At 35.0% G+C, this 12,257-nt stretch overlaps 1 annotated feature.

Annotated features, from left to right (window-relative positions):
- Positions 10,863-11,436: an enhancer, noted in NCBI's record as "OCT4-NANOG hESC enhancer chr5:123360854-123361427 (GRCh37/hg19 assembly coordinates)". NCBI's record gives its function as "activates a minimal SCP1, AML or CMV promoter by ChIP-STARR-seq in primed H9 embryonic stem cells {active_cell/tissue: H9 hESC(primed)}" and the evidence as "EXISTENCE:reporter gene assay evidence [ECO:0000049][PMID:30033119]".

Below are 12,257 nucleotides of genomic sequence, written 5' to 3' on the forward strand. Positions count from 1 at the left end.
CTAATATAAAATGGCCTTGAGGCACAAAATTTTGTACTCAAAAGTAATTCCTAAGAAAAGTACTATCAAAACAAAGCACAGAAAAACCTTTTCCTGTTATCACTGAAAGTTTCAACTACATTTTATTTAAAATTTATTTCAATCAAAAGTATTTTTAGAGACCCGTTATTGAGATTAATTTTGTACCTAAATTAGCATGTCTTTCTACTGCATCAATTTAGCTAAGCTGGAACGTCATTTTCTGAAATTCCTCTCCTTGTGTAGGTCTGTGTTAGAGGTGTCCATAAAAGAAATTTGTATGAGACTAGTAAGGCAGAAGTGAAGTACATTTAAAAAAAAAAAAAAAACCACTCTGAAAATCAGCAAATGACAAGGAATTATTGCAGCTTACTCACTTTTTCACAGATACCTTAGCTCATCTTCTTGGTGCAGGACAGAAGGTATTACTGTAGCCCCTTCAGCACCCATCAGCTTCTCCTTTAGCTTTTTCCAATCATGGGCCAGCTGCGTAAAGGTCTGTGGCAAGGGATGCCAGTTTATCCTACAGGTTTTCTGCAACAACATGATTGGAAGAGATCAGGGTCAACTTATGCTTATGGGTTCTAAGTTTGTACTGGCTCTCTCCTTATTCAAATCCATCTTCCTTTCCAACAGTTAGGCCTGTTGACTTCAGACCCAACACCAGCAAACCTCCATAGACTGGTGAATCCGCTCTCATAATCATGTTCAATCAAATCTGGCAAAATGTCCCTTATTTTGTGTCATCCAGAGGGGTTCTCCTTCTCTCATCAAACTGTGACTGATACACTGAATGGATTTATGTCACCAAATCCGTAGTGCTGAAATATTTTTTTCAGACCCTGTTACTACACAATTGTCTGCAAGAAAAATGTAAATTTCTAGCGTCCCTGAGTCATCCACTATAGCAGATTCTAAATTATGTAAAACCACTTCTTCTGCAATTATTGAGGTTTGAAAGAACTTGTAAGATTTTCTATGTCTTCATTTTCAAGCTAACAATATAGCACAGCCAACTACATAAGGTCCCACAGTGGCACCTGATGTGTTAAAGGAGGTTTGGGTGAGGATGTTTAATTAATCAAACTGCCTGAGGAATTTTTCATAAGATATTAACCCTATTATTTTCTCATAAAATATGCTTTTATGGGGAAATATCTTAATATTAGTTTGAACATTTGTCATTTTATTAATGGCCACATAATCTAAAAATTTTCACCCTTTTGGAATGCAAATGACAGCTGAGTGTACTATTATTAATTTCAATATTTAAAGGGGTGAAACATATGTCAGAGTATTTGGTATACTCTATCAAGACCACTTACATTTTTATGGGAAGTGACCAAAATTCTGGATCAAGTACCATATTTACTTTAAAGGATCATTCCAAGAAAGAACAAGCATTTCAGTTATTACACACCTCTTGAGACAACTAATTTTTTCATTTTTTACCTCACACTTTGTTGAAAAGATTACAGCTATGGAATAATTATTTGTTATATATTATGGTTGCTGAAAATTGTGATATACTTCCCTAAATGGAGTTTAGAAAATTTATGATTAAGCTGTCGCTATATATCTTGACACTTTCAAGCAAATGGTTAGACTGAAAGTCAGGTTCAGATGACTGGAAATATTCTAGAAAAATTGTTGGAAACATTTTTTTAATACTTAGTTCCTCATCAATCAACATGCCCCTACACATTCCGTTATAGAAGCCAGTTCAGATGAGTTATGCATCAAATATTTTCTTGCTTTAAACCAACTCTATTCAAATTTAGGTGCTTATTTATAAGACAAATATGAGAGATCTACCAAAAACACCTTGTTTATTTTTTTTAATATGAGCAACAAAATAGATTGAATTAATTTTGTAAGGGAACACTGTGGTAATATGTATTGTGGGACTTTGGACTCTCGAGGTTTTGTATTTACTTGTTACTGAAAAGCAAGGTTTTGTATTTACCAAAAAACAAGGGACACATAGAAAGAAGAGTGAAAGATATGACCAAGGGAAAGTACAATAATTGGTTACTCAGCTTCATTTGAAGCAAGGATTGATTGGTAAGGACCTGCCTGTTTATTTTCTATGACTATGTTTTAGCTACTACTCAATTCACTCCTGTCATGTGAATTGAACTCCAAGTTTTAAAAATAAACGGACAAAATATTTATTTTGGCAGATTGTTTTCCTCCTCTATTTCTAAAAACTTAAAAGTCGCTAAATAAAATTTGTCAAATACAAATAATTTTTAACAGGTCCTATAAATGACTGATTCTATTAACTATTGAATCAGTAAAGTAGAATCTCGTTCAGTGCCATGGGAATTATATGAGAGGTCTTTCCTTTTCATCAATAACTGAATACCTCTGTGTTAAACATTTCGTGTTTCTCATCACAGATAGTGAGCAAGAAGGAATCTCTCAGGCACCTGATTTGATTCAGTATCTGTGTGAACTAAGGAACAAAGGTTAAAAATCCTTTTGCAAATGATGAGAATGGGACTCATTAACAGTAATAAAATTACTTTGAATAAACAAAAATCAAAATTTCATTTCTTCTTTATCTCCTTTTATTCTTGTCTTATTTCAAAAGAACACTAAGTTCTTCACATGGACACAGGGAGGGGAACAACACATACTGGGGCCTTTCGTGAGGGTGTGGTGGGGGAGAGAGAGCATTAGGAAAAATAGGTAATTCATGCTGGGCTTAATACTTAGGTGATGGGTTAATAGGTGCAGTAAACCACCGTGGCACACATCTACCTGTGTAACAGACCTACACATCCTGCACATGTACCACAGAACTTAAAATAAAATAGAATAAAAAAGAACACTGTGTTCTAAAAGATTTTCAATTTTTTTCTTCTTTTTTTATGTTTTTTTTTTTTAAATTTTATTATTATACTTTAAGTTTTAGGGTACATGTGCATAATGCGCAGGTTTGTTACATATGGATACATGTGCCATGTTGGTGTGCTGCACCCATTAACTCGTCATTTAGCATTAGGTATATCTCCTAATGCTCTCCCTCCGCCCTCCCCCCACCCCACAACAGTTCCCAGTGTGTGATGTTCCCCTTCCTGTGTCCGTGTGTTCTCATTGTTCAATTCCCATCTATGAGTGAGAACACGTGGTGTTTGGTTTTTTGTCCTTGTGATAGTTTGCTGAGAATGATGGTTTCCAGCTTCATCCATGTCCCTACAAACAACATGAACTCATCATTTTTTATGGCTGCATAGTATTCCATGGTGTATATGTGCCACATTTTCTTAATCCAGTCTATCATTGTTGGACATTTGGGTTGGTTCCAAGTCTTTGCTATTGTGAATAGTGCCGCAATAAACATACGTGTGCATGTGTCTTTATAGCAGCATGATTTATAATCCTTTGGGTATATACCCAGTAATGGGATGGCTGGGTCAAATGGTATTTCTAGTTCTAGATCCCTGAGGAATTGCCACACTGACTTCCACAATGGTTGAACTAGTTTACAGTCCCACCAACAGTGTAAAAGTGATCCTATTTCTCCACATCCTCTCCAGCACCTGTTGTTTCCTGACTTTTTAATGATCGCCATTCTAACTGGTGTGAGATGGTATCTCATTGTGGTTTTTATTTGCATTTCTCTGATGGCCAGTGATGATGAGCATTTTTTCATGTGTTTTTTGACTGCATAAATGTCTTCTTTTGAGAAGTGTCTGTTCATATCCTTGGCCCACTTTTTGATGGGGTTGTTTGGTTTTTTTCTTGTAAATTTGTTTGAGTTCATTGTAGATTCTGGATATTAGCCCTTTGTCAGATGAGTAGATTGCAAAAATTTTCTCCCATTCTGTAGGTTGCCTGTTCACTCTGATGGTAGTTTCTTTTGCTGTGCAGAAGCTCTTCAGTTTAATTAGATCCCATTTGTCAATTTTGCCTTTTGTTGCCAATGCTTTTGGTGTTTTAGTCATGAAGTCCTTGCCCATGCCTATGTCCTGAATGGTATTGCCTAGGTTTTCTTCTAGGGTTTTTTATGGTTTTAGGTCTAACGTTTAAGTCTTTAATCCATCTTGAATTAATTTTTGTATAAGGTGTAAGGAAGGGATTCAGTTTCAGCTTTCTACATATGGCTAGCCAGTTTTCCCAGCACCATTTATTAAGTAGGGAATCCTTTCCCCATTTCTTGTTTTTGTCAGGTTTGTCAAAGATAAGATGGTTGTAGATACGCAGCATTATTTCTGAGGGCTCTGTTCTGTTCCATTGGTCTATATCTCTGTTTTGGTACCAGTACCATGCTGTTTTGGTTACTGTAGCCTTGTAGTATAGTTTGAAGTCAGGTAGCGTGATGCCTCCAGCTTTGTTCTTTTGGCTTAGAGTGAATCCTCACATTTGACAAAGTATATGTATTTGAACCTCTAGATAAAGATAGAATTTTAATGTTGAGATGGTTTTCTGTCATGCATATACATGATCTGAACAAGTTCAAACTCATGACAAAATTAGTACCTTTCACTAAACTTAACTTGGCTATTTTATCAATGACAAGAGACACAAAGGTCAATGGAGATAGGCTATTAATAGTCTCCTGAAAATGTGCTCAGTATCATTAGTCATCAGAGAAATGTAAATTAAAACCACAAAGAGATATCACCTGTAGTCACAAGAATGATCAAACTTTAAAAAGAGATTGACATCTTTAAACATTGATCATTAAAACTAAATTACATATTTTCGTTTTTGTGTATGTGTATACAGATAAGTAATTTATTTTCTATTGAACCTAAAGACAAAATCTATTCACAGGATCTTGTGTGAAGTTATTAAGTTTTTTTGCTCATTTTTTATTGCGTTGCTTTTTGTTATTGATTTGTAGAAGCTTGTCAAATATTCTGGATATTTAATATTCATATAATTGTACTGCAATTATGTTTTCCCAGTTTGTGGCTGAACTATTCATTTTTTAAATTTTTACTTTTTAATTTTTTGGGTACATAGTTGGTATATATATTTATGGGTTACATGAGACAGTTTGATACAGGCATGCAATGTGTGATAATCACATTAGGGTAAATGGGGTTATCTGTCACCTCAAGCATTATTCCTTTGTGTTTCAAACAATTCAATTTTACTCTTAGTTTTTTTTTTTTAAAAAAAGTACAGTTAAGTTATTTTTTACTATAGTCACCCTGTTGTGCTGGCAAATACTAGGACTTATTCATTCTTTCTGTTTTTTTTGTACCCACTAACCATCTCCACTTCCCCTGACCCCACCCTCCTCACTATCCTTTCCAAGTGCCTGCTCATTTTAAATGATTTCTTTTAATAAGCAGACATTAATTATGGTAAGTTCTAATTTATCAATTTTATCTTTATGATTAATATTTTCTGTATCCCAAGACAGCTTTGCCTATCCCAAACTGCTATGGTTTCAATGTGTCCACTCCAAAATTCAGGTTTCAAAACGTCATGGACAATGCAATAGTATTAAGAGGTGGGGGCTTTATAACCTTGTAATAATACATAGTTATTGTTTTTGCTTTAAGCACTTGGTCTTCTAAAGAAATAAAAACATATAACCAAAACATAATGGAGCTGAAAGAAAAGCTTTTGTGTTCTATTTGGTACTATTTTCTTCAGTCTGAAGAATTTCTTTCTCCATTTTATATTGTGAAGGTCTTCTGGAGATAAGTTAGCTCAGTGTTTTTCTACCCCTGTAAGTATTATTTTGGCTTCTTTTTTGAAGGCTATTTTTATAGGATAAAAAACTCTAGGTTGAGAGGTCTATTTTGTTCTGTTAGCAGTTTCAATGTCTTTTGTTGTCTTCTGTTATTTCTGATGAGAACTTATCCATTCTTTTGTTCACTTGTACACGTGTCTGTTTTTTCTCAGTACTTTTAAGCACTGTTCTTTATTGTTGGTATTTAGCAATTGACAATGACAAGGGTTTTTGTTTGTTTGTTTGTTTGTTTTATGTATCCTGCTTGGATATGCTTGGAGCGACTTGGATCTTTTATTAATTTTAGAATGTTCTTAGCCATTATTTCACCAAATACTACTTTTGTTCCATTTTGTTTAACCTCTCCTGGGACTATTTGACATTATTCCACAGAGCTCAGATGCTCTTTGCTTTTTCTTTTTAACTCTTCATTTTCAATTTAGATATTTTCTATTGACTGTTTTAACTTTACTAGTAGCTTTCTCTGCTATGTCCAATCTGCTTCTAAGTCCATATATGAGTTCTTCAGTTCTAATGTTGTAATTTTCATTTCTAGCATTTCCATTTAGTTTGTTTTTTAAAATAGTTTTTGTATCTCTGCTAATATGTCCCATTTCTTTATGAATGTTGTGCACCGTTTTGAATATATCTTTAATCATTTTTGCTATCTATATTTTAAAGTAGCTGTCTGATGATATCAATGTTTGGTCTATCTTTAGATCTGCTTCTATTGATGGTTTCAACTCTTGATAATGAATGCCATTTTCTTGACTTGTTGTGTGTCTTGTAATCTATAAGTGTATTCCAGACACTTAATATAAGGAACAGGGAATCTAAAGTAGATATTTATCTTCAGAAAAATACTGCCCCATTTTCTGTCAGTCTACTAGAAATGAGTCAATCTGATCTGTGGCTTAGCTGAGTCTGGATTTTATTACAGCATTAGTTTGATTCAGTTCACAACTGGCTTGAAATATTTTGAGGGTGGGAGTATAACTTTCCCATTAGCTGGGATGGAGATCTGAAGAGATCTGTCTGTGTTCACAGCCAAATCATCAGCTTTTAGAATTGTTGAAGATACCACTATAGTTTACTGCCAAGTTAAAAGATAATGGGGACACCAGAGAGTCTCTTTCTCTCCAGTCCTACCACCAATTAGTTTCTTTATCTCAGCAAATTGTTTGCAACCTTCCCCCACCCACTTCTCTATTCTTTAGAAAGACGGTGTCATACATTCATGAAGGTCCTCAGTGCTTTGCAATGTCCTCTTAAGTCTCCTGCCCACCCTCAGTCTCTGATAGTTAAAGCCTGGAGTTCCTGGGCAGGGAAATGTTCTATGAGCTCTCCTGCCAGGCCTACAATCTTTTATATGTAATATTCTAGATTGCCACAAGGGGTTTTTCTTAGCTGCTTAACTAAGTATTATTCTAATAAAATGGTCCCAGATTCTTTATTTAAAGATAACATCACCCTAGCACTTCAGAGGAAATTTGGCTTTAAAAATTATGCAATCATCACAAAGACAGCTTGACAATATACAGTTTAGTTGACATTATGGTTTTATTAGGTGGACTACAATGTATTGAAGTATTATTATTGAAACAATCTATTGCTTAGATAGCTTTTTAGTCTATCTAAGAACTCTGTCACAAGGTAATTCTTAATTGTATTTTTTTGCTTCTTCATTGCTTACTAATGAAGCTTGGGAGCATCATGTGACTTCATTACTTCAGTTTTCTCAGTCTGTTCATATTCCATTCCAGGGAGAAATGTGAAAATTAATAACTCTCTAAAGTGCTTTGGAAACTTTAAAACAGATACTATGTAAATCTAAGTAGTCATTACCATAGATATTTTCTACCTTAAAGAATGTTTTTATAATTCAAAAAAAAATAGGCTTTTCAATTGTGTAGTATTCATCACCATGTAGAAGACTAGCTAATGACTCACAGAGCTAGCTTCTCAGTTTCTAAACAAAACACTAGTAAAATGCCCAGCTGGTTCACTTTAATTTTAAATGTAATGATATCTACACATGGGAGCTGGCATGCCGCTTTTAAAATTTTGGAAGGAAAATACAGTTAGAGAATTCCTGCTGGAGGTAATAGTCCACTTGAATCAATGCTAGTCTATGGAATTGCATTTATGATTAAGCCCCCATGCTAACTAATAGAAAAAGAGAAAATCTCTTGTGTCCTCGTGGAAAATGGAGTATAACTGGTGGACATAATGCATGATAAAGATCTGTTTTCTTTGAGGACAAAATTATGAGTGTTTGTTTCCCAGCACAGTAGAACCATTTAGAAGACTCATTTCCATGTTTGTGAGTATTCCAAGGATGAAAATCAAGCCCCAATCGGCATATCAATTACCGAGATAACTTAAAAATCTACTTTAGAGTTAGGACATTTAAAACTATAATAGAAGTGAAGTAAAATTTCCAAAGTGTTCATGGTTGTTTGCCATCAAGTTCCAAAACTTGATGCAGTGGTTACTTGAACAGTATATGAAATATAGAGATAATAGTAACTCAACCTAAAAATCAGTGCTTGTGCTGTGTGGCAGGCCACTAGAGTGTCCATCTTCACCCTTGAAGCATCTTACTAATCTTTGCCAATATCTTACTAAAATTTGCCAATAGAGAGGTTTCTTTTGTACTCTGCTGTATAGTAGTTTAAGGGAAAATTGGTACATTTTCAAAAGCAATACTAATCTTCCACAATTCTCAAAACTACATTTTATAGTTATGGGAACCTTAATGTTTTGTTATTTTATGAAAAAAATTTATTCATATTATCCAATTGAAAATATACTAGATCAGAGGTCTCCCAGCTATTATTGTACACCTCTATTAGTAAAACGATGTTGAGAAAATCCCCCACTACATGAATATTTATTTATTTATAAATTTTATTCTTGTACAATTATTAACTAGTATCTAAAGGTGAAATATACGCTTGGGATTACAGCCATCTCTAATGATAATATGAGTAAACCTATATTCAAAACAGTCTTCTCAATAATTTTAATTTTGTCGGCTAACTGCTTGTCAGATCTTTTTCCGTTTTTTTTCTTGTGAATATTGGCTGAAATTGAGCTCACTTAGAAAGTAGTAGTGACAGGTCTGCCAATTTCTAGTTGTTTGCCTGTTTTGTATTATGAGTATAACCTTTAACCTTTAATGTGTGTTTTTCTCTGCCAGAATCTCTTAAAGTCACTTGTACTTCTTAATGAGAAATGGTCTTTAAAGTGGGTCATATTAAGCTTTCCTTAACCAGACACACAGAAGCTGCAATATGCCAATAATAGGCTGAATATTTGTATAGAATTTGTGACATATGACAGTGTGACATATGAACTGGGCCTCATTCAGTTTACCTGCTAAATATTAGAAGAAATAATTTATTTCATACTGTTAGACTTAAACACAGGGAAATTTTAATACTTTCCTTTTGTATTCCATCTTGCACACCCACTGGGTTGTGACCCCCTATTTGAAGCCCACTGGCTTAAATGACTTATATTTGAAAATGGAAAAACAAACACGATGAAAGGAAAAAAAGAGCTATTTTTAATTCTCAAATACATCATGCTCCAAGTAAAAATCAAATTGAAAATCAAGAAAAGATAATAACACAGGCAAGGATCAAATTACATTAATTTCTGTTGGTCTTTATCTAAAAATACAAGACAGTTTATTTCTTAGAAAAGAAGGAGAGTAATATACGGTCGGGGGAGGTAATTCCAGGGGTATATAAGCAGCGTACAGCAGATTGATGTGTCTGGCAGGGCAAGTACATAAAAATGAATTTTTAAAAAAGAGAATAAGACTGGTAAGAGAAAAAAATGGTAAAAATCAGTATTAGAAACTCAGTGGAAATCAAAGTGTGGAAGGAGAGATGTACTTTAATTACAGGTGAGTGTGTGTGCTTTTGTTGTCATGATGAGGTTGTAATAAAAGTGAAGGAAGGTATAATCTTCCTCAGATACTGCCTTTAGTATTTATATCACTATTAAGATCAAGTCATTATCGGTTGGCACATTTAGTTACAGTGACTTACTTCTTATCCTGTCTCCACTCCAGAAGCAAGTCCTTCTCCTCCTCTAAAGCTCAGAGCCACTTTTGTGCCATCCTACTCTGCTCTTCCCAGGCCCATAAAGACTCTAATTCTCAGTTGATCTCCGCCCTCTCAGGTATCTTCAAACCCTCCTCACAGCTTTCACCCTTATGCCTTCAAAAATGTCTAGTTCTTCGCTGTCTTAGAAAATGTTCTCCTGACCCAGCTGCCCTCTCTAGTTACTGCTGTAATTTTTTTCTCTTTTCAAACTTTTCAAATAAGCAGCCTATGTCTACTGCCTCCATTTCCTCTGACATACCCTGGAAACAGGCTTCTGCTCTCATCACTTTTCAAAAAAAGAATTTCCCCTTGTTCTCATCCAACTATTACTTTGGCCTATTTACGGGTGTATTTGATAGCTGTCTCAGATCACATCTCACCCTCCCTCTCCTTCCCTGCTTTACCCCTAGTGTGGCCTTTTCCATTTCCTGCCTCTAATCCATACTTGCTTCATCCTGTCCAGGAGTTTCACTGCTCCATTGAGACACCTCTCTGTTTATAATATTAATGCTTCCTACTTTAAGACACAGAACTTTTTAATTTCTCACCCTCACTTTTAAGTTTCTCGTATTTTCCCCATACCCACTTTATCAAGTCATTATTTGTTGCAACAGAAGTCACTGAATAAATATTTTTTGAATAAATAAATGAATGAATGAATGGACATATATTCCATGCCCTGGTCAGATGGTATCCTAATTGTTCTATCATAACCATAGTTATCTCCTATCTTTATTATGTTGACAAACTATAGCCATTTGGTTTTGGTATGTAATCGAGTCACTATACATATTTGAATGTGTCAAGCTGCTTAAGTTCATGTTAACAAGACAGGAAACTTTAAACTGCAGTATGTGATTACTAGTATTAATAATACAGAGTAGAGTTTCATTGAGCAGCTCTTCCTGGATACATTATCATGAAGACTGTAAGGGAAATTACTCTATAAGCATGTTTTCTTACTCTAAATTTTTCTATTACTAAAACACAATAAACATGAAAAACGTTCATAAACATCTTCACTAGACAAAAGTTGTAAGAAACAGAATGTACTATTTAAAAGTTAGAAGTTAGGAGGCATCAGCATTTGGGGATCATCTTGACTCCCTTCTACTCATTCCACCTATGATAAATTTAACTGGTTTTCTTGTGGGGCTGCTTGAAGCCTGGTGTGTGTTGAAGGCTTTCAATTAGCTAGCTAATATATTTAAGCTTTTCTCTAAGAGTGACATTCATGATTTTCTCTTTGCAACTGCTTGCCAATCGATACCAGCCGAGATGAACTCAAAGTCATGAATAAGGTGATTATGTGGCTTTTGTGCTCGCCTGCTTATGCCGCTCCCCTCCAGGGAAAACCTGACATGCCTGAGGTTCCTACATTCTTTGCCACATCGTATCCCTGAGTTTTGATTTGGCTGATTTACTACTGAATGAAAATCACAGAGACCTCTCTGCTTCCTCCCAACAGCCTATTCTTGTGGTAAGTCAGTTTAGCAGAATGTGACATCTGTTGACAAGCTTTCCTTCTGCTTAGAGGCCCTAGTCAGCCAGTTTGGAAGCCAGTCTCAGTGATTTCATTTAAGGAATTACTCCATGTAACAACAAAGTAAATGAATATAATACATGTCATATAATCATAAAAACAATTATATGATGTTTTATGTATATTATTTTCATTATTCTTCACTTTTCAAATCCCTTTCTGTACCGGGAAGCCTTTTACAATTATAGTTCCAAACTTTTCTGATGTTTTTTGCCTCAAACTCTTACAAAATTTAAACATTTTCATAGAATCCTATAGTACATGTGTTATTGTTTTCTGTTTGTTGTCAATCACTTGTCCTTATTTGAGGGAAGGAGCCATATCTTTTCGTTTAAATCTCTACCATATTGCACTTTGTGAAATATGTAGTAGTGAGTTAGCATTCATGTGTGCATTGACCAATTAATGTTGGCTGGAGTGGAAGTAGGAGGGAATGTGGAAAAAGAGATCAGAATAGTGGTGGAATGTATTAATAATTTCAAATTACAAGGGTCACTGTTCCAACCGAAACTTTTCTTTTTTCCTTCAACAAATATTTATTGACCACCTGCTATATGCAGACACTGCCCTAGATGCTTAGGATATGACACTGCACAAAACAGAGTAAGATTTCTGTTCCTAGGAAGCTTTCACTGAAGCAGAATGAGATCGATAGTACACAATAAACATAACAAGAAAGTAAATTAGAAAATTAGGCCAGGCGCGGTGACTCACGCCTGTAATCCCAGCACTTTGGGAGGCCAAGGCAGGAGGATCACCAGGTCAGGAGTTCGAGACTAGCCTGGCCAACATGGTGAAACCCTGTCTTTACTGAAAATACAAAAATTAGTTCGGCACGGTGTTGAGCTCCTGTAATCCCAGCTACTCATGAGGCTGAGGC

Source organism: Homo sapiens, chromosome 5, assembly GCF_000001405.40.
Source record: "Homo sapiens chromosome 5, GRCh38.p14 Primary Assembly".
NCBI classification, from domain to species: domain Eukaryota; kingdom Metazoa; phylum Chordata; class Mammalia; order Primates; family Hominidae; genus Homo; species Homo sapiens.